Source organism: Homo sapiens, chromosome 12 (genome assembly GCF_000001405.40).
Source record: "Homo sapiens chromosome 12, GRCh38.p14 Primary Assembly".
NCBI classification, from domain to species: domain Eukaryota; kingdom Metazoa; phylum Chordata; class Mammalia; order Primates; family Hominidae; genus Homo; species Homo sapiens.
In genome coordinates, this window is record NC_000012.12 from 101,392,741 (window position 1) to 101,416,299 (window position 23,559).

General features: G+C 39.2%; 1 protein-coding gene and 1 pseudogene across 2 annotated transcripts, besides 2 other annotated features; one reads left to right on the plus strand and one right to left on the minus strand.

Moving 5' to 3' along the window:
• Positions 1 to 375: 375 nt before the first annotated feature.
• Positions 376 to 15,080, minus strand: ARL1 (ARF like GTPase 1). 2 transcript variants are annotated; one of them, NM_001177.6, is made up of 6 exons: positions 14,902 to 15,032; positions 13,104 to 13,241; positions 10,125 to 10,206; positions 8,322 to 8,433; positions 3,659 to 3,837; positions 376 to 2,930 (listed from the first exon to the last, which is right to left on the minus strand). In NM_001177.6, the coding sequence occupies exons 1-6, from the start codon at positions 14,903 to 14,905 to the stop codon at positions 2,900 to 2,902; spliced, it is 546 nt and encodes a 181-aa protein (NP_001168.1). In that variant the 5' UTR covers positions 14,906 to 15,032; the 3' UTR covers positions 376 to 2,899. The 2 variants fall into 2 exon arrangements, with proteins under 2 accessions (NP_001168.1, NP_001287997.1); NM_001301068.1 differs by lacking the exon at positions 13,104 to 13,241 and having other exon boundaries at positions 380 to 2,930; positions 14,902 to 15,080.
• Positions 14,515 to 14,564: an enhancer, noted in NCBI's record as "active region_6862". NCBI's record gives its function as "activates an Ori minimal core promoter by ATAC-STARR-seq in GM12878 lymphoblastoid cells {active_cell/tissue: GM12878}" and the evidence as "EXISTENCE:reporter gene assay evidence [ECO:0000049][PMID:35858748]".
• Positions 14,645 to 14,694: an enhancer, noted in NCBI's record as "active region_6863". NCBI's record gives its function as "activates an Ori minimal core promoter by ATAC-STARR-seq in GM12878 lymphoblastoid cells {active_cell/tissue: GM12878}" and the evidence as "EXISTENCE:reporter gene assay evidence [ECO:0000049][PMID:35858748]".
• RNU6-1068P (RNA, U6 small nuclear 1068, pseudogene) lies at positions 18,617 to 18,719 on the plus strand (annotated as a pseudogene).

Sequence of the window (23,559 nt, forward strand, 5' to 3'; positions counted from 1 at the left end):
CTGGGAGGCAGAGGTTACAGTGAGCCGAGATCGTGCCAATGCACTCCAGCCTGGGTGACAGTGAGACTCCATCTCAAAAAAAAAAAAAAAAAAAAAAAACAAAAGTCCATGCTTTATAATTTGTAATTACGGGCTTAGAATATGACAGTATGTGGCACAGAAATCAAATGTTCATTCACTTCAGCATCTGTGCTTTGATGTAGTGTGTATCTCAAACGGGAATTCTCACGCTTCTAAGGGCTTTGTAATTTATCAAAAGGAGGCCATCTTAGAAGACTGATTTTAATTAATTCTAAGTGACTTAAGTGCATGTATTGCTTTCATAAAATTTTTAAAAATAAAATACTAAGGCAAAGATCAGAAAGGACAAATATATCTGGCATATTGAAGACGTCTTTGTTTTTAATCAATACATATTTATTGAGTGCCTACTGTGTGCCAGGTGCACCACACTAGATGCAACGGATACTAACAGTAAATAAGATACGGTCCCTGCCCTCAGAGCTTACATTTCAACAGTTTAAAGTGCATCTCAGGTATTTCAGATAACAGAAGTAATTCTACCACTCTCAAATTTTTTTTTTTAATGCAAGACACAACACAATCATAGGCCAGAGTTATAAAATACAATGTTAGAAAGAAACGTTTGGTATCATTCGTCCAGATCCCATTTTACAGAAAAGAAACTACAGGAGTGGCCATTTGCACCTATGTTCTGATTTCAAGTTTGGTGTTTTACCCATTGCCAGGCCTCTCATAAAACAATATTCAGATTTGCCATGTATATATCAATATCCAAACGCTGGTAGTATACCTGTGCAGTTGTCTCCTGCTAGACAAGGACCATATAATTTATAGCTTATTTAAGTGTCCACTTTCTTTATCCCATCCTATTCTTTGTGATAAACCAGAGGGATCAGGCTTAACCAAGTGCTGAACTTTGGGGCAACTTCATGCCCTAGGATTCAAGATGGCCAGCGGCTACATGCCGGGTCTGCCTGCCAGGACCTTACTTCCCATTTTTTGCAGTTTTCCTGGACTGCCGGGAGGCAGCTGTACAAGCTTTATAAGCCTCAGGCTGTAAGTGAACTTGCTTTCTGCATTTTCCAGCCATGTGCCATTGACCAGGAGTGAACTCAAGTATAAATTGCAAAGGGCTACTTGTCAAGATGACAAATATCTATCCTACTGTTTCAACTATGAACATATTCTGAAATGCCATATGCCAGGCGCCATACCAGATACTAGGGACATAAATATGAAAAAGTCTTTGCCCCTCAGGAGTAATATTGGTTGTACTGGAACATTTGTAGCTGAAGGAAAATCTCCAAAAAAGATTTCAAAGAGACTAAAGTAGGAATGGGTGCTGGAGAATGAGCAAGAAGGGTGAGAGTCCCACGGGTGAAGGGAGAAAGCAGCAGAGAATGAATATAAGCCCGGAGAATGAACATAAATGTGAGGGGAAGAGGCCAGAGGCCAACACTGGAAGGACAGTGAGGGCCAAGAAAGGAACTACTAATGTTTCTGAGACCTGCAGGGAACCATGGTATTAAGCTCTCATTACCAGCACCTAATTTTTTAGAGGCTGGTTTTCCAACTTAAGTGAAAGAAATTCACCCTGTTTTTAGCAATTATGACGCACTATATTTACTTCTGTCACATTAGCTGATTCTGTGGTGGACTGGGTAATTTGAAAAGCTCCTTTGAACATGAATTGTTTTTAAACTTACAGTCTAGCAATAAGCCTAATTTTTAAAACAGAATGCTTAATTTCTCCCTGTACAATCAGTAAGATTTTGATTTTTAACAAGTTTACATGTCCAATTACATGTAGATAAAAGGAATGAAAACCAGTAAAGACACCTTTTATAATCTGAAAATAGATTTTTAAACCTTCCTTTAATGTGAAATTTTCTCTTTAATGTGTTATGAATTCTATCAAATATAACCATTTAGGATTATTTATAGTATGTCACTGATCACTTCTACTAGTATAGACAAATAAATTTATAAACATTATTTTGAATGTAACTAATTAGCATAATTTTATTTAAGAGTTAGACTGTGTTGTCAATACTGACATTTTTGGGAATATATAGTATAGTTTATGAGTCAAGCTTCTGAACCAAAAGTTTTACTTTGAGCCCTATTCCTACCTTACAAGCTAGCAGGTGACCTTGGGCAAGCCAACCTATTAGAACCCTGGGTTCACGTCCATACAGTGAAGACATCATAACCTGTCCTACCTACTTCACAAGCTTCCTCTACCGATCAACTAGATCAATATATGTAAGATTTTTTTTGACAACTGTAAAGTACTATAAAATGACACTTACAGATAAGTCAGTGAAGTTAACCATCAAAACAATATTCATGCCTATAACCAAAAGCTTTTAAACAAAACAGCTTAATAAAAAGTGGTCAGGTAAGCAAATAAAGATTATATTACACAAACTATGTTCCTCACCTACTCTCATACTGAGTCTAATCTTTGGAAAGATAATTCATTTTAAGGGGAAAAAAATCTGTTAAGATATTTTTTAGTATTTATACAAACAAGCTGCAACTACTATTCAAAAATAGGTTTTTTTCATCCAATAGGAGTATACTCTTTAATAGAACTGTATTTGAATAAGAATTCCATACAAATAGAATATATACCTTAACACAAGAAAGCAAGAAAAGAATATTTTACATTACATAGAACATTCAGGTGATTCGATCAAATTATCCCTCCAACTAAATACTTATTTTCCCTATTTACTACAAATATTGCAGTCAGTCAGTATATGCCAATAATCATATAGTTTTAACATCTAGTAGTGTGAAGTACACTTGACTGTTTCCAAAGGGAGAGAGGTGATGTAGTCTTCATTTCAGGGGAGAAGAATGGACTGAATTACTGTCTGCTTTTTAATGTTTCAACTAACCTGTAAAGAGAAAATGAACTGTTTTATAAAATTAATTTTCAGGTATAAAGCATGATCATCTATAATAAACTTTGTATTGGAGGTGGATTCCAAAGTACTTAAAATGATGACAGCTAACACAGATGAGGTTATGCACTAGATATCCATAAGGTTCCTCTAAGCTTTGAATTTGTCTATGATTTGAATGAAAAATTCAAAAAAGACCAAATACCTATTTTCCAGGCTACTACTACTTCTGGGCTACATATGGATGACTCAGAGGTGAAACTAGTCTCAATCCTCAAGGAGGTGATTATCTAATGAGTAGATGAACAAATCAAACTTACAAGACAGCAAAACAAGTACTATGTCACTAATCTGTGACAAGGGCATCTAACTTTAAGTGAGTGATTAGGCAGTAGGAATAGAGATACATTAGGAAAAGCTCTTCAGAAGAGAGTCTTAAGCTAATTCCTGAAGGATAAGGAATTGGAGGGTGAGGTGAGGCAGGGAAAAGGCTAAAAATTGGCAAAGAATTTGCTTATCTAAGTAACTGTAATCAGGTAGGTGTGGTTGAGAAGACAGATGCACCTGAAGACCAGTGAGAGAAAACGCTTGAGGAACTTATGAAATAAGCTGCTAAGTAAATCAAAGTTTCATCCTCAACACGGGAGAAAAATTACACGTGGACGTGCATAGCTGCAAGCACACACAAATGCACAGATGGCTTCTGGAAGCATGATACTTGCCATTCCATTGCCTCATCAAGGCCGGTGCCTTTGGTTGCTGACGTTTTGAATATCTGCCATTTTCGGTCCTTCAAGGCAGGTAACCCAAGTGAATTTGCCATCTCTGAGGAAGTCATGGCCTGTTCCATGTCCTGTTTATTTGCAAACACCACTAAAATGGCTTTTCTCAGCTCTTCTTCCTAAATGAAATTGAAAATATTTAATTTCTTTTAACTAATGTGCTCTCTCGAGTTTAGAAAATGTCCAAAAATACATTTTAAACGTGTATTTTATAATTAATATATTACACATTATGAAATTATATAGAAATTATATAGAGAAGTATAAAGAAAAGAAGCTTCACTCATAATCCTACCTCCCAAATATGATCACTGTTAACATTTTAGGTGTTTTCTACTAGTACTTTGTTTTGCAGATACTTCAGAGTTTATTTAGTAAATACATTTACACATTTAAGATCACATTTATATATAGTTCCATACCCTGCCTAAAAATTAAAATCATGTTTCTCCAAACTACAACAACTTTTTCAAAATAAAAAAATGGCTAAATATGCTCTACACTATGGATGCATGCACCATAAACTGTGTTAACTATTTTCTAGTATCTGACTCTTATTAGAGTCTTTCCACTAGACTATTAGATAAACCCAAGTGACAGGGTCTTTATACAAAAATTTCTGTTTAAATCTGTTTCCTTAACACAATATTCTAAAAATGGAGTCAAAGTATGAACAGTTTTTTTCAGGCTTTGATAAACTGAATACATGCATGAACAGCTTTCCAGAAAGGTTACCCTACCAACAGTGTATAAAAGTCTCCATCTTCAATGCAGCCTTTGTAGAGTTGGGAATTATTTACTTTTCCAAACATAGCATCTCATTATATATTACTAGGGTATTCGAAATGCACATGGGCTGAGGCAGGAGGATCGCTTAAGTCCAGGAGTTGGAGACCAGCCTGAGCAACACAGGGGTCTCTACAAAAATTTTTTTAAAAAACAAACAAAAAAGGAAGCAGAGAGAGGAGCTCAAGGTTATAACAAGCTTTGGTTGTGCCACTGCACTCCAGCCTAGGGGACAGAGGGAGACCCTGTCTCTTTTTTTTTTTTCTTTTTTTAAGACAGTGTCTCGCTCTGTTGCTCAGGCTGAAGTTGCAGTCGTGCAATCTTGGCTCACTGCAGCCTCTGCATCCTGGGTTCAAGTGATTCTCCTGCCTCAGCCTCCTGAGTAGCTGGGACTACAGGTGCCCGCTGCCACGCCCAGCTAATTTTTGTATTTTTAGTAGAGATGAGGTTTCACCATGTTGGTCACTCAGACTGGTCTCGAACTCCTGACCTCATGATCCACCCGCCTCGGCCTCCCAAAGTGCTGGGATTACAGGCATAAGCCACCGCGCCCTGCTGACCCTGTCTCTTTAAAAACAAATGCAAATGTTATTAGCAATGTTTTTCCCCTACGAATTGCCTTTTGCTCATTTTGCAAAAGATCTTGCTATGATTCAGATCACTAATCCTTAGTCATTGGCTTCTGGTTAGGCCTGGTTTCTTATCTTAATCTTGTTTATATTTGCCATATCTGAGCTTTGGGGGAGTTTTGTTTACATTAATATAATTAAATCTCATCTTTTGAATTCCTTATATGTTCTTATAATTTTCATTTTTTACATTTAATTATTTACCCATTTAGAATTCATTTTTGTGTATAGGAAAGTTGAAAGGCCAGGCACGGTGGCTCACATCTGTAATCCCAGCACTTTGGGAGGCTGAGGTGGGTGGATCACCAGGTCAGGAGTTCAAGACCAGCCTGACCAACATGGTGAAACCCCGTCTCTACTAAAATTACAAAAATTAGCCGGGTGTGGTGGTGTGCGCTTGCAATCCCAGCTACTCAGGAGGCTGAGGCAGGAGAATTGCTTGAACCTGGCAGGTGGAGGCTGCAGTGAGCCGAGATTGCACCACTGCACTCCAGCCTGGGCAACAATAGTGAAACTCCGTCTCAAAAAAAAAAAAAAAGTTGAAACCTAAACTGCTTTTGTGTCTATACTATATATTTTTTGTTTGTTTGTTTTGAGATGGAGTCTCACTCCATCACTCAGGTTGGAGTGCAGTGGCACTATCTCAGCTCACTGCAACCTCCGCCTCCTGGGTTCAAGTGACTCTCCTGCCTCAGCCTCCCGTGTAGCTGGGATTACAGGCGTGCGCTACTACACCCGGCTCATTTTTGTATTTTTAGTAGATATGGGTGGCCAGGCTGGTCTCAAACTCCTGACCTGAAGTGATCCACCTGCCTCGGCCTCCCAAAGTGCTGGGATTACAGGCGTGAGCCACCACACCTGGCCTGTGTCTATATGTTTTAACATTAACAGTCCTGACTCGTACTTGGCCCATACTTAACATAACATGATATTTATTGATGAATTAAAAGTGACTTCCTAAAGAAAGAATCCAACTTTTACTTCTTTCTCTGTAAGACTTTATAAGTCAAATCCTAACACTGCAAGTAACAACAATCCTGCACAACTCAAAAATTGTAAACTGAAGTCAATAATCCATTCCTTTTAAGCAATACTTTATATGATAAAAATACACTATATCATGTGAATTATACCTAAATAAAACTGTTCTTTAAAAAACCTATTATACCCAAGGCAATTAAACCTTATCCTTACATTTAAATTTGGTCTAAGAAGCTCTTATAATAAATATAATGCTATGATGTAAAAAAAAAAAAATTAACCAAATGTTTAAAACTATTAAGTCTGCAATTTATAACTTGGAAGCCATTAAGTCAGTAGTTCAAGAAATCAAAAGTCCTGGGCTGAGCGCGGTGGCTCATGCCTGTAATCCCAGTACTTTGGGAGGCCAAGGCTGGCAGATCAGGAGGCGGGCAAACTGCTGAGGTCAGGAGTTCGAGACCAGCCTGGCCAACATGGTGAAACCCCATCTCTGCTACAAATACAAAAATAAGCCGGGTGTGGTGGCAGAAGCCTATAGTCCCAGCTACTCAGAAGGCTGAAACAGAAGAATCGCTTGAACCCAGGAGGCGAAAATTGTAGTGAGTGGAGATCACGCCACTCACTCCAGCCTGGGCGACAGAGCAAGACTCTGTCTAAAAAAAAAAAAAAAAAAAAAAAAAAAAAAGAATTCAAAAGTACATAGTCCCCTCGTCTGAGGATGCTTTTACCTAGGTATCAACTGGCCTAGAACTTATATTTAAACATCCCTTGATTAAACAATTCAGAATCCAGTTTTTGACAAGAGAAAGAAACTTATCCATCTAATTTTCCAGAGCAAGGGCAATTTTATTATTATCATAGTACATTTGATTATTTTTTCATTTTTTAAAAATGGATTATTTAATGCATCCTCTGAATTTGATCAGTTAGCCAATATATGATCTTATTAACTTCAGTGAATAAGATGTATTGAATTCTTAATTAAGTACTATACATTGTTCCTCCTATCAGGGTAAACTCAAAGAACTTACATTTTAGAGGGAGAGATACATAAGTAAACAAATATATTTTTTTTTAATTTTTATTTTTTGAGACAGAGTCTCACTCTTGTCACCCAGGCTGTAGTGCAGGGGCACGATCTCGGCTCACTGCAACCTCTGCCTCCTGGGTTCAAGTGACTCTCCTGCCTTAGCCTCCCAAGTAGCTGGGACTACAGGCACACACCACCATGCCCGGTTAATTTTCTTGTATTTTCAGTAGAGATGAGGTTTCACCATGTTGGACAGGCTGGTCTCAAACTCCTGATGATCTCTGGTGACCTGCCCGCCTCGGCCTCCCAAAGTGCTGGGATTACAGGCGTGAGCCACCACGCCCAGCCAACAAATACATTTAAAAATAATGTAAAAAAACAGTAAGTGGGGTGCAATGGCTCACACCTGTAATCCCAACACTAGGAGGCCGAGGCAGGAGGATCACTTGAGGACAGGAGTTTGGGACCAGCCTGGGCACCATAGGTAGACCCCGTCTCTACAAAAAAAAAGAAAAAAAAAAGAAAAAGAAAAAGAAAAAAAAGAAACAATATCGGTATAAAGAATAAAGAAGGGTAAAGGATTAGAGAATAAATAAGACTTCTTTCTGGGGAAGAGATGTGGGAAGAAACACGTCAGGAAGGCAGCCATGCAAAGATGCTGGAGAATAGTATTCCAAGCAGACGGATCAGCAAGTGCAAAAGGCCCTGAGCCAGGTGTGCAAGCTCGTGTCCAAAGAACAGAAAGAAGGTCAAAAGCACTGTAAACACTGGGAAGGATAAAAAACGATAAACGTGAGGCCAGCATTGTGCCAGTAACCCAGAAATACATATTTCTCTGAACTTGAATCCTTCTAAAACAGCTAAAAATAAAAAGACATATTTTAAAAGTCACATCAAAGAAGTGACTTAGAATAGATGCTTTTGTTTAAGTGAGCTCTTCTGAACCTCCTGGAAAATCAAGCAATCTGGCTTGAAGAGGAAGTTACGAGGTTAATTTTTGTTGTTGTTTTGTCTCCAACCCTCCTCAACTGTATTTTTGGAATAGAAAATCATTTCCATAAAAGAAAATAATTTTAAAAGGATGGAGGGAACAACCCCTGCATTCTTTTTAATTATTCTTCAATGTAATAATATGTAAATGACTGCCCCACATTTTAAAGTGGTTACGTTTTCTTACCTCCAACATGGCAACTAACTCTGATTTGGAAATGCCAATTCGGTCTCGGTCACAACTGTCTACTACATAAATGACTGCATCTGTGTTTGAATAGTAACATCTCCAGTATGGCCTAGAGAAAATTTAAAAGGGGAGAACATATTGTTATTGTTTTAAGGAAGAAACTGACATATCAATTGCCAATTCTGTCCCACACATGTTAGAATCAATGCCTTAATGATTCACTGTTTCTGGTGGATATATGTACCATATCCCTCAGATGTGATGGAGTCAAAAGAATGTTGATAAACATTGGCTGGGCACGGTGGCTCACATCTGTAATCCCAGCATTTTAGGAGGCTGAGGAGGGCAGATCAACTGAGGTCGGGAGTTCGAGACCAGCCTGACCAACATGGAGAAACCCCATCTCTACTAAAAATACAAAATTAGCTGGACATGGTGGCAGGTGCCTGTAATCCCAGCTACTCGGGAGGCTGAGGCAGGAAAATCACTTCAACCAGGAAGGCAGAGGTTCCAGTGAGCTGAGATGGTGCCATTGCACTCCAGCCTGGGCAACAAGAGTGAAACTCTGTCTCAAAAAAAAAAAAAAAAAAAAAAAAAAGAATGTTGATAAACATTGACTCACAGGACCAGGGAGTTTCCAAATGAATTCATTCAGACTTCAGGCTGACAAAATTTATTTATAATCTATGAAATCACTAAATATACTGATAGAAAAGTTGTACACAGACCTGATCATTACATCTTCTTAAACAAATCTTTAACTAGGCACCCCTTAAGAGGAATAAACTTTTTAAACGTGATTTTATTTAACAGTCATGAAATTAATCACTGACATCAAGCAGTAGAAATGGCTAAAATTATAAATAAACTCAAAAGTGATTCAATGGAGTCTCTCTGAGCCTACTCTGGCTTGGGAGGCTGCACAATTTAAAAAAAAAGAAACGTGATTCAAGAAATGAGTTAAAAGAAGTCAGAATGTTTGGAGAATGCATTACTAATCTTTTAAGATGGTACTATCGTGACCAACTACTGACGGTCATCAAACATTCACTGTTGCCATGTCAAGCCCAAAATGCTAAGCAGAAGACCTGAACTTCAGAAGGCATTTATTTTTTATTTATTCATTTATTTTTTTTGAGACAGAGTCTTGCTCTGTAGCCCAGGCTGGAGTGCAGTTGCGCGATCTCAGCTCACTGCAACCTCCAGCTCCCAAGTCCTGGTACAAGCAATTCTCCTGCCTCAGCCTCCCAGGTAGCTGGAATTATAGGCACGCACCACCATGCCCAGCTAATTTTTGTATTTTTAGTAGAGACGAGGTTTCACCATGTTGGTCAGGCTGGTCTCCAACTCCTGACCTGATGATCCGCCCACCTCGGCCTCCCAAAGTGCTGGGATTACAGGCGTGAGCTACCATGCCCGGCCAATGGCATTTATTTTTATATTAGCCCTAAATGGTATGCCTGCAAGGTACTTTAATGAATTCCAAAACAATGTGTTTCAGAGAGGAGAGACTGACAAGAACTAAATGGAGGGTCCTTTCTAATTGAGAATAGCTGAAGTAATAAGGTCTTGAGATTTTCGTGAAAAGATTTTCATTAAACAGGTATCTGGAAAACTGGGCTTCCTTAAGTTTTAACTCAATGGATGCTCTAAGGAAATAGTTCCCAATTTTACCTCATTTTAAACTAGGTGGCTCCATTTAAATTACAATAGAACACATATTCGGGTTTACTGATTTTAACCCTTAAAAGAATCAATAAATGTCAAATACTACCAAATAACCTGGTCTTTGTACCATACCTGATACTTGTCTGTCCTCCTAAATCCCAGACTTGGAATTTAAGGTTTTTGTACGTCACCGTCTCTACATTAAATCCAATGGCTGGAAGAGAAATCAAATCAGTGGTATGTGTAGACTAATACATTCCACCTTCAAAATATCCTATCTAATTGAGTTACAGCAATTAATGGTAACTGTTATTAGAGTTTAAAATATATATATATATAATTTGTCTTAGGATTCGAGTTAAAAAGAAATGGTAATTGTTGAATCACATTATTGGTTGAGATTTTATACCATTTAAGACGAAATAGTATGCTCTGCTCCCCCACACATGTGCAGGTGTGTGCACAAAACATCAATTAGCAAGATCAATACCATCTTCAGGATATTTTTTAAAAGCCAGCAGTTCTGCAAATAAAGTATATAATTTTAGCTCAAATAAATTAAAAAAAGAATTTAAAAAAGAAATAAAAAGGAAAACATAATTTTTAGCTCAATGGAAATCCTATTATATTAAACTCCCCTCATAATAGAGTAGTTAAAAGTGTTCGAAAGCTGTATTTAGAAAGTACAGTTGTGGATGTACTATAAAAAGCAGAATTTTGGCTGGCAGCAAATAAACAGACCAAAAGAAAAAAAGCTAAACTTCAGTTCTAAACTACAGCATGGACACAGCCATGGCTGCAGCTTTCAATCTCACAGCCCATCTGCAGACATCCTCCAGAACTCACTTGTAATAAGGTCATGGCTGGGTGGTCAAAGGGCAGGTGTCCCATCCCTTTTCTCTGCCATCCTTCTTAGGTGAAAAATAGGTAAAAAATAACTTCCATGGCTGGGTGCGGTGGCTCACACCTGTAATCCCAGCACTTTGGGAGGCCAAGGCGGGTGGATCACCTGAGGTCAGGAGTTCGAGACCAGCCTAGCCAACACTGTGAAACCCCATCTCTTCTAAAAATACAAAAATTAGCCGGGTGTGGTGGCACATGCCTGTAATCCCAGCCACTCTGGAGGCTGATGCATGAGAATCGCTTGAACCTGGGAGGCACAGGTTGCAGTGAGCCGAGATCTTGCCACTGCACTTCAGCCTGGGCAATAGAGTGAGACTCTGTCTCAAAAAAATAAATAAATAAAAAATAACTTCCAGGTATAACTGGACAATTAGCTTTTGTTTTATATTTAAGTCTGCAGTGGTAAGTGATACCTTTGAGTATTTGGCAAGTATGTCTATTACAATTAAAAAATAACAATACTATGACAAATTTGAGCAAAAAACTAAAATGCAAGTTCATGATGTCTCCCTTAGAATTAGGTAGGAGTGTAATCACAATGTTCACCAACAGTAAAAAACATCGTTTATATGTGCAAGACAAGAGAATGGTGTAGACTGGGTGCAGTGGCTCATGCCTGTAATCCCAACACTTTGGGAGGCTGAGGTGGGAAGATCGCTTGAGCCCAGGAGGTAGAGGTAGAGGTAGACGCTGCAGTGAGCTATGAATGTGCCACTGCACTCCAGCCTGGGCAAAAAAGCAAGACACTGTCTCAACAAAGAGTGTGGTGTAAAGCAGCACTCACTGAAACTCCAAACTATCCACTGTGCTGCTCTGTGCACTGCAGGAGATGCCCAGACAGAGATGGGTGATTTTGAGAAGCAAAAACTAAGGGCACTAAAATTTACTGAAGGTAGCAAAAAGGAATAACAGACATTACAGGGTTCAAAACGCTCTTCTTTCTTAGAGGCTAGCCTCTTTCGTTTTAGTCCATAAATTTAAACAGTAACAATATAGAAATACCCTGAGTGACAGACTAACATTAGAGGCATAATTTAAAAAATCTTGAGCAAACTGTATGAACTCTTTAATTTAAATGTACTACTCTTCTCTAAGTAAATTCAAGGCAACAAATGAAAAAAGTATAAATAACAACAGTATTCTCATATAGTCAGTAAGACTGTTGGAGAATATTTTTGTAAGACAGTAATAATTGATTAAAATTGAGGTATTTCTTCTCTTAATAAATATATACATATACACATATATATTTTGAGACCTAGTTTTGCTCTTGTTGCCCAGGCTGGAGTGCAATGGTGCAATCTTGGCCTGCCACAACCTCTGCCTCCCAGGTTCAAGCGATTCTCCTGCCTCAGCCTTCCGAGTAGTTGGGATTACAGGCATGCACCACCACGCCTGGCTAATTTTGTATTTTTAGTAGAGATGGGGTTTCTCCATGTTGGTTGGGCTGGTCTCCAACTCCCGACCTCAGGTGATCCACCCGCCTTGGCCTCCCAAAGTGCTGCCATTACAGGCGTGAGCTCCTGTGCCCGGCCTTCTCTTGATATTTTTAAGGTACCAAATTACTTCAACACTCAGTCTCTGCAACTCAGATCTTTAAAAGTAATCAATATAATTACCTAAGATAAACTAATCTTAATTAAAATAGTAACAAATACAGGAAAAAAAGGCACTTCACATGTAACATCACTTAACATTTATATAATTCTTTACACAGATTTAAAAGGTACTTTTACCTACTTTGTTTATTTCCCCCTGAAAACCAGTGGGTATTTGTTATCTTATGTATTTTATTAGTAAAGATACTGGCTCTCAGTAAGATTTAGTAACTTAAACCTATAAACAGCCCAACCCGGCCGTAAACCAGAACAAGGGTCCTTAAATTACACTAAGCTGCCTCTTAGTTGATGGAAAAAGTGTTATCAATGTTATGTTCATACTAGCAGTTTACAAACTTTATCAAATACTTTATTATATGAATTAATTTATTCAGAAATAGGCCTGGCATAGTGGCTCATGCCTGTAATCCCAGCACTTTGGGAGGCCAAGGCAGGAGGATCACTTGAGGCCAAGAGTCTAAGACCAGCTTGGACAACATAGTGATGATACCTGATCTCTACTAAAACAAACAAAAAAGAAAGAAAGAAATAGTTATGTTGGATGGAGACCAGAAAGTCCCTACAATTAGCTCATCATACCAACACTTACTAGGTATAGTAGTAACAACTTCTCCCACTTGTAATCTGTACAAAATTGTGGTTTTTCCTGCTCCATCTAATCCCAAAATTAAAATTCTCATTTCCCGAGTTCCAAACAGACTGGAAAATATACTTGAGAAAAAGCCACCTAAAAAATAATAAAAGAAAAAACATACACAATGTCATTTTGTGAACTAGGTATACAAAACATCTAACCTTGTCCTTTGAGAGCTAAATACCAAATTAAATATTATAATTTCCTGGATGCGTAGGTGCATATTTTTCCTCCCAATGAAATATATTATTCAATATCAAACAAGTAATTAGTTATGTTACTATGTCCTTAGTTATGTTACTATTGTGTCATGCAGGCACAGAAGATAAACCAAATAATAAGAGAAATATGGCCGCGGCCTTTGGGAATCTCATTTTCTAATCAGCAGAATAGGAATATTTTAGCATGATCCCCTCACTACCCCTAAAAACCAAGGGGCCAGTAAGGAGGATAGTGGGACAATGTAATCCTCGCACAGGAAAAGTACTGTACAGCAGCAGTACCACTATAACCAACTTCAATCAGAGTTCTCCACGAAGCAATATAGCTAGTACAAGAAATTGAGAAAAAAGCTGAAAACAATAACTATTTTTGACAAAAAACCCACTTTTAAAAATAATAAAGCTCTATCCAATGCATCACAAAATATTCCCAGAAAGCTTCCTGTACACCAAGTATTGTGTAGGATAAAAAGCACAGTCCTTTTCCCATCCAGAGCCATTAGAGAAGATTAAAAACAAGTTACATTAATACAAAAAAAAATAGTTAACATCAGAAGTGATGCCACACTGTTATTTGGCAAAGACATGGCATAACTAAGAGCTGCGAGTTGAAAAATGAACAACACCATGGGCTAGAGAACCTTGGGAAAGTTCAACAGAATAGGTGTGACTTGACAAAGTCCTTTCTACCATTTACAGGTAGAAGAGAGGCGGAACAAAACTGAAGGCGGTTATGGAAGACAGGACAGCGCCTGTGATGCTTGGGAGCAAGAAGTATGCTCCCCAGAAAACTGTGGAGGGATTTAACCAAGCCAAAGAATCTGCACCTTCATTTGGAGGGTGAGAAACGAGTTAAAGAATGTGCACCCTCACTTGGGTTCTAGCGGGGCGAGGGTGTTACCTGATGCTTGTGAGAATGCAGTTCCCTCAATCAGCGGGCCAAGAACCAAGAATAAAGTTTCATTTGCCGACTAGAAATACCCGTATTATTACATGAAACGCTACAGCAGATTAGCAGACAAATGCCAAACTGGCCATAAAACAACATAAGCAACACCTGCTCTCAGGTTTTTCAAACTGACGCCGTCCCAGCGCCCCTGGTAAAGAGAATGATTAAGCTTCCACTCTGGGGCCGCAGCTCATCTTTCACCAAGAAACCTCGGCGAACCTGCGACTGACGCGTTGCCAGCCTCCGCAAGAACAACTCTGCCCAGCAAGTGGAGCTGGGGATGAGGGAAAACTTCATGATAAGGGTAAAGAACTCGAACCCAGGCTCTGCGGACGTCCCCAAGCTGTCCGGGTCCCTGGACCCCGCAGGAATCAAGGGGAACCGAGAGAGGACGGAGGAGAACGCGAGAGGCCGGATCCACCCCTACAGATGAAGATCCAAAGTGAGTCAAGTCCTCCGCGACCCGCCCCCTGAGGAGCTGGCTACTCTAGGGTATCCTGGCCGGCCCCTCTCCTCCTCTGCACCCCAGCCCTCGGCCGCGGCTCCCTCGAGCGCGCCCAGGTGCCCTTCTCGAACCCCTCACCCATGATGAACCCCCTGTCCTCCCTCGCCGATCTTCAGTGATTCCTTGGCCTTCGGCTGCAGCTCCGAGGCGGTTTCCTCGCAAGCCCAGTCAGCCAGCAACTTCCACGTCGGACTCCAGGCGGGGGCGGGAGCGAGGGTCAGCTGCGACTGCGCGCCGGGAACGGTGGCCTGAGCATCCGCGTCGTCGCTTTCGACTCACGGTCCCCGCTCACTGGATGTAGATACCGTGGAGGCCAGAAGAGACGAATAATTCAAAAACCTGAAGTCTCTCCTGCTTGTGTTTTTCTGGACAGAAAGAGCTTCTGAAATAGAGAAATTGGAATTTTTGTTTTAAATTCTGACACCAAAAAGTGGCGAATCTGACAACTGAAAATGCGAGTCGGGCCTCGATGAGTCGTCCCGGTCGAACGCTGGCGCAGGCTGCGGCGTTGCAGAGGACGCGTGTCCCGGAGCGCCCTGCGGGGCCAGCCCAACTCTCCCTAGGTGCTTTCTCCCAGAAAGAAACAAGACTACGTAATAATAATAGGAATGGTACCGCGCTGCCAATGCGGAGCAGCCTTGCACCTGAGGCCAGTAACCAGAGGTTTTTGTCTTCGCTGTGGCCTGCAGGACGAGGACCTCGCCGGCTTTTTTTCTCGCTGACCGAGCAGCTGAGACCGCCTTTCAGGGGTCGGCAGTGTGGACTGGCTGGTCCCGATCGTGGGGACCAGGGACTTATTCCCTCGAGGGTCGACTGTTGGAAGTAATGTAGGTTTTGATAGTGAAGTGTGTGGAGAGGAAGAAGGAAGCACACCTATAGGATGTGGAGAAGGGATTTCCCCTAGAGAAATTTTTAAAGGTTGAGCATGTATGTTTTGAAACTTCCCAAAGATCCATTGAAAAGTGAACCTTCCGGCCGGGCGCGGTGGCTCACGCCTGTAATCCCAGCACTTTGGGAGGCCGAGGCGGGCGGATCACGAGGTCAGGAGATCGAGACCATCGTGGCTAACACGGTGAAACCCCGTCTCTACTAAAAATACAGAAAATTCACCAGGCGTGGTGGCGGGCGCCTGTAGTCCCAGCTACTCAGGAGGCTGAGGCAGGAGAATCACTTGAACTCAGGAGGCAGAAGTTGCAGTGAGTCGAGATCGTGCCACTGCACTCCAGCCTGGGCGACAGAGCGACACTCCGTCTCAAAAAAAAAAAGAGAAAAGTAAACCTTCCATCCCTAATACCCTGTATCTCGGTGATCCCCAGTAGTCACTACTGTTAATACTCTCTTAGGTTTTCTTCCAAATCTTATTAATACCTTTGCATATTATGTTTTTATTTATGGTAGAGATTTTCATCCATTCAACAGAAGCTTATGGACTGCCTTTTTAGTTTATTTTAAAAGAATTTTTCTAGCTTTAAATAAAAATTGTATATATTTACAGTGTACCATGTGATGTTTTCATAGTTGTATATGTTGTGAAATGATAACATACCCATCACCTCACATAGTCGTGTGTGCTTGTGTGTATATGTTTATTTTGTGCTAAGAATATTTAAGGTCGGCCAGGTGTCGTGGCTCAGGCCTGTAATCCCAGCTCTTTGGGAGGCCGAGGCGGGCAGATCCCTTGAGCCCAGGAGTTGGAGTCCAGCCTAGGCAACATAGTGAGACCCCATCTCTACAAAAAAATAAAAAAATTAGCCAGGCACAGTGGCACTTGTAGTCCCAGCTACTTGAGAGGCTGAGATGGGAGGATCACTTGAGCCTGGGAGGCAGAGGTTGCAGTGAGCCAAGATCCCGCCATTATTCTGCTCTCATTCTATGAGTTCCACTTTTTTTGACTCTACATATAAGTGGGATCATGAAGTATTTGTGTTTCTGTGCCTAGCTTATTTCCCTTAGCATAAATTCACCCATGTTGTCACAAATGACAGGATTTTCTTCTTTTTAAAGGCTGCATAGTATTCATTATATATATAAATATACATACATATACCACATTTTTACATTTCACGTTTTCTTTATCCATCAGTTCACTCTTAGGTGATTCCATACTTTGGCTATTATGAATAATGCTGCAATGAGCATGGTGATGCAGATATCTCTTTGACATACTGATTTCATTTTCTTTGGATATATACCCAGAATATATGGTATATACGTATATATTGTATATATGGTACATATGCATATATGATATATATGGTATATACTATATGGTTTATACTGTAGTTCTATTTTTAATTTTTTGAGGAGCCTCCATACTGCCTTCCATAGTGGCTATACCAATTTACATGCTCACCAACCATGCCTATCTTGGTTTTGATTTGTTTGCAGACTCCACTAGTTGTCTAGGTTCTGAACTAGTTTTTGCCTCTTGCTCTCATCCTTGCCCCCAAAACCACAGGTTCACGGAAATTTTCCTGCAAGGAAAAGTTTTGTTTTGTTTATTTTTATTTTTGTTAATGGTTTGAGAAGGGGAGAAGGGCTCTACCTAAACACCTGAACCTTTCTAAGGCTATCCTTTGTAAGCACTGTGTGGTCTAATTATTGGACCTCTGTGCTTATGATTCTATAATACCTCCTCTTAAACAAGATTAGTTTGCTGCTGCTTGAAAGATCTTGGCCATTACTACTTCAAACTTAGGTCAATGTCAGATTTATATTTGAGTATGATGTGTGTAATTCTTGAAAATACAGATTCCCTTTAAAAGAGAACTGAGGCGGGGCACGGTGACTCATGCCTGTAATCCCAGCCCTCTGGGAGGCCGAGGTGGGTGGATCACCTGAGGTCAGGAGTTCAAGACCAGCTCGGCCAACATGGTGAAACCCTGTCTCTACTAAAAATGCAAAAATTAGCCGGGTGTGGTGGCAGGTGCCTGTAATGCCAGCTGCTCGGGAGGCTGAGGCAGGAGAATCTCTTGAACCCGGGAGGCGAAGGTTGCAGTGAGCTGAGATCGCACCACTGCACTCCAGCCTGGGCGACAGAGCAAGACTCCATCTCAAAAAAATAAATAAAATAGAACTGAAAGGAAAAATGTGCTGTAATATAATTGTGTATTCAAACTACATATTCTGAACCAGATAAATGAGATATATATCGCGATGCTTTGTAAACTGAAATACTATATACAAATTTAAATGTATTGACAGCCTTTCAGAATCTATATTAAGCACCTAGTTACAAGTCACTGTGGAAATAACAGTGTAATAAAGACTAAAAAAGACCCATTAGGCATTTTGATCAAAAATTCTCATTTTTCAAAATTTGATCATATAATGCTTTGCTTTGTTAGTAAAGAACTGACCTAATTCCCTACAGGCATTGAAAACAAAACAAAGGCCAGAGCAATGGCTCATGCCTGTAATCCTAGCACTTTGGATTGAGGCGGAAGGATAGATTGAGGTCAGCAGTTCAAGACCAGCTGGGCAATATAATGAGACCCCGTATCTAAAAAAGAAAATTATTTTTGTAATTAGCCAGGCCTGGTGACACACACCTGTGGTCCCGGCTACTTCGGAGGCTGAGGCAGAAGGATTGCTTGAGCCCAGAAGTTTGAGGCTGCTGTGAGCTATGATCAAGCCACTACGATCTAGCTAGGGCAACAGAGCAAGACCTTTTTGCTAATAAATGGATAAATAAAGTGTTGAGACATTGAATAAAGAGATTTAATGAGCCAACGCACATGAAATAGAATAGTTATCAACACATAATACTCAAGGTTTTTTAAAAAAGTATTGAGAGCTTGTTTCAGCAGCACATACACTAAAATTGAAGAATACAAGGAAGATTAGCATGGCCTCTGCACAACAATGACATGCAAATTGAAGTGTTCCATATTTTAAAAAATTTTAAAAAAGAATAAAAGTGTTGAGACAAATTTATAATTAACAAAGTCATAAATAGCCAAGAGAAACTTAGCTAATCTTTATTGGTGATTACATCCCACCTCCACCACTGCTTCTCTCAGTTTATGACCACAGCAAGGTTCCTACTTTTATAGGAACGCAAATGCATAAAGGTCATGATAAGGTGTTGAAAAATAAAATAACAAAACTGCCATTTCCTGTATATTTTATGATTCTAACTAATGACAGCCATTACTCTGTAGGAAAGATACATATCTTTAGGGCAATGTTGCTTTTCAAAATGTAGTCATTCCTATTAATATTGACCTAGTATTATAGTTTCCTACTTATTAAAATGAAGTCTTTGAGGAAGTAGAATTATAGCATCATGCTAGAATTAAAACTAAATGTTTGGTTTTCATTTATTTATGTATTTATTTATTTGAGACAGGGTCTCACTTTGTCACCTAGGCTGGAGTACAGTAGTGTCATCATGGCTCATGTCAGCCTAGACCTCCAGGGCTCAAGCGATTCTCCCAGCTCAGCCTCACAAGTAACTGGGACTACAGGCGTGAAAAGCAAATTTAAAAATTTTTAATTTGTTCATAGAAATGGGGTCCCATTCTGTTGCCCAGGCTGAGCTTGACTTCTTAGACTCAAGTGATCCTCCTGCCTCAGCCTCCCAAAGTGTTAGGATTACAGGTATGAGCCACTGCACCTGGTCAAAACTAAATGTTTAGATTGTAAGTCTTTGGAATTTTTTTCTTTAAAGTCTTTAGAATTTTTTTCTTTAGACAACCATGTAGAATTGATCTCACCTCAAATGTCATCCTATTTAAAAATTGCAACCATGAATTGGCTCTCTGTTTGTCTGTTATTGGTGTATAAGAATGCTTGTGATTTTTGCACATTGATTTTGTATCCTGAGACTTTGCTGAAGTATCAGCTTAAGGAGATTTTTGGGCTGAGACGATGGGGTTTTCTAAATATACAATCATGTCTTCTGCAAACAGGGACAATTTGACTTCCTCTTTTCCTAATTGAATACCCTTTATTTCTTTCTCCTGCCTGATTGCCCTGGCCAGAACTTCCAACACTATGTTGAATAGGAGTGGTGAGAGAGGGCATCCTTGTCTTGTGCCAGTTTTCTTCAAAGAGAATAAAATACCTAGGAATCCAACTTACAAGGCATGTGAAGGACCTCTTCAAGGAGAACTACAAACCACTGCTCAACAAAATAAAAGAGGACACAAACAAATGGAAGAACATTCCATTCTCATGGATGGGAAGAATCAGTATTGTGAAAATGGCCATACTGCCCAAGGTAATTTATAGATTCAATGCCATCCCCATGAAGCTACCAATGACTTTCCTCACAGAATTGGAAAAAACTACTTTAAAGTTCATATGGAACCAAAAAAGAGCCCGCGTTGCCAAGTCAATCCTAAGCCAAAAGAACAAAGCTGGAGGCATCATGCTACCTGACTTCAACTATACTACAAGGCTACATTAACCAAAACAGCATGATACTGGTACCAAAACAGAGATATAGACCAATGATACAGAACAGAGCCCTCAGAAATAATACCACACATCTACAACCATCTGATCTTTGACAAACCTGAAAAAAACAAGAAATGGGTAAAGGATTCCCTATTTAATAAATGGTGCTGGGAAAACTAGCTAGCCATATGTAGAAAGCTGAAACTGGATCCCTTCCTTACACCTTATACAAAAATTAATTCAAAATGGATTAAAGACTTAAATGTTAGACCTAAAACCATAAAAGCCCTAGAAAAAAACCTAGGCAATACCATTCAGGACATAGGCATGGGCAAGGACTTCATGTCTAAAACACCAAAAGCAATGGCAACAAAAGCCAAAATTGACAAATGGGATCTAATTAAACTAAAGAGCTTCTGCACAGCAAAAGAAACTACCATCAGAGTGAACAGACAACCTACAGAATGGGAGAAAATTTTTGCAATCTACTCATCTGACAAAGGGCTAATATCCAGGATCTACAAAGAACTCAAACAAATTTACAAGAAAAAAACAAACAACCCCATCAAAAAGTGGGCAAAGGATATGAACAGACACTTCTCAAAAGAAGATATTTATGCAGCTAAAAGACACATGAAAAAATGCTCATCATCACTGGCCATCAGAGAAATGCAAATCAAAAGCACAATGATCTCACACCAGTTAGAATGGCAATCATTAAAAAGTCAGGAAACAACAGGTGCTGGAGAGGATGTGGAGAAATAGGAACAATTTTACACTGTTGGTGGGACTGTAAACTAGTACAACCATTGTGGAAGACAGTGTGGTGATTCCTCAAGGATCTAGAACTAGAAATACCGTTTGACCCAGCCATCCCATTACTGGGTATATACCCAAAGGATTATAAATCGTGCTGCTATAAAGACACATGCACACGTATGTTTATTGCAGCACTACTCACAATAGCAAAGACTTGGAACCAACCCAAATCTCCATCAATGATAGACTGGATTAAGAAAATGAGGCACATACACACCATGGAATACTATGCAACCATAAAAAAGGATGAGTTCATGTCCTTTGTAGGGACATGGATGCAGCTGGAAACCATCATTCTCAGCCAACTATCACAAGGACAATAAACCAAACACCACATGTTCTCACTCATAGGTGGGAATTGAACAATGAGAACACTTGGACACAGGAAGGGGAACATCACACGCCGAGACCTGTAGTGGGGTGAGGGGAGGGTGGAGGGATAGCATTAGGAGATATACCTAATGCAAATGACGAGTTAATGGGTGCAGCACACCAACATGGCACATGTATACATATGTAACAAACCTGCACCTTGTGCACATGTACCCTAGAACTTAAAGTATAATTTTAAAAAAAATTGCAACCTACCCTTAGCCTGATGTTTTAATACTTCTCACCAGATTATAATTTACTTGCTTATTATGCTGATTATTTATTGTCTTACATTCACTAGAATGTAAGATCTATGAATGCAAGTATTTTTGTCTATTTGTTCACTATTTTGTTCCTGTACATGGCCATTAAACAAATATTTAAATTACAAAATAAGTTTTTGAGGCCAAGGCCCTAAATATTAGTTTAGTTCTTAAGCATATATTCTGCAATATGATTAAACTTGTTTCCTAAGATAGTCGTAACTGAAGCACTTGTCCTAATTTGATACAAGAAGCCAAACCGTCATCTTCAAGGAAATTGTGATATTTGAAGAGAAGCCACCAGGTGGTGGTGTTGTTTCAGACTAATTCCTACTAGAATCAGGTCAATTGGTCAGTTTACTAAAAGCTGAGAGGGCAGTTTCATCCTTTTCAGATCTTATAGTCCAGGAATCACTAAATTTTAAAATGTGAATGTTTTAATGCAGTTCAAGCAAATAAAATAATTCAAAAACTCCTTTGACTATAAGTCACAATAAGATCAAATAAGCTCAGAATTTTAAAGCTAGAAAAATCCTCAATTTCAGCCACCTCAATTACACATAAAGAAGTAAAAACAAACTAGACAACAAAGCCAGGACAGCAAATTTGATAATTTAACTTGGCCTGGAATAACTAAATTATGATGTCTTTTGTAACTGAGCCATGATCTATACATTTCATAAATTTCTTTTCAAATACATACCTATGCCTCAAGTATTTGCTGTAGTTTCCAAAGAACTTAGCATTTATGTGTGTTCCATTGCCTATTGGAAGTTACATTCTGTTGTTCAGATTTTATTCTACAAAGAAGAAACCCATAATAAGTATAAATATATAAGTATAATATAGGCTTCATAAGGGCTTATAACTATGTATATTTATAATTGTATTTTAAATTTAGGAGCAATTTGAGATCATAAGTAGGTGTGTTGAGTTTCCCAAATTAGGATGTGTATAGTGTGTTTCAAACATGTTTCCTTTTAATGACATGTATTTTGCCAACAAAGCAGAATTTCTCTTTAGACTAAAGGTTGTTATTTTTTCAATTAAGATACAATTCGCATACCATAACTCACCATTTTTAAATGTACAATTCAGTGGTTTTTAGTAGATTCACAAGGTTTGCAACTGTCACCACTATCTAATACCAGAACATTTTCAGCACCCTGAATAGAAAGTCTATACCCATTAAGTAATAATTCTCTAGTCCTTGCCCCAAATTCCTGCCTCTGGTAACCTCTAATCTACTTTCTTTCTCTATGAATTTGCCTAATCTAGGTAGTTCATATAAGTAGGATCATACAGTATTTGTTCTTTTGTGTTTGGCTTATTTGGCATAATGTTTTCAAGGTTCATCCATATTGTAGCATGTATCAATATGTCATTCCTTTTTATGGCTGAATAATATTCTGTTATATGAACATACCACAATTTGTTTATCCATTCATAAGTTAGTGGACATTGGGTTGTTTTCACTTTTTGGCTATTTGAATAAAGATGCTATTAACATCTCTGCACAAGTTTTTGTGGGTACATATGTTTTCAGTTCTCTTGGGTATATACCTAGGAGTGGAATTGGTGGGTCATATGTATGTTTAACTTTTTGAAGAACTACCAAACTATTTCCCATGGTGGCTATGCCATTTTACATTCACACCAGCAATGCATCTGGGTTCTGTTTTTTCCACATTCTCACCATCACTTATTTTCCACTTTTTAAATTATAGCCATCCTAGCAGGTGGTTTGCATCGTGGTTTTGATTTGAATTTTGCTGATAAAAACTAATGATTTTGAAAATCTTTTCACATGTTTATTGGACATACATATATCTTCTTTGGAGAAATGTCTATTCACGTCTTTTGACCATCTTTTAGTTGG

Coding starts and splice junctions, on each gene's coding strand:
- ARL1 (NM_001177.6), bottom strand. Junction 8,434..10,124: donor GGAGGACAGACAAGTATCAG/GTATGGTACAAA, acceptor AATTTTCTCTAG/GCCATACTGGAGATGTTACT. Junction 2,931..3,658: donor CTTGATGAGGCAATGGAATG/GCAAGTATCATG, acceptor TTCTCTTTACAG/GTTAGTTGAAACATTAAAAA.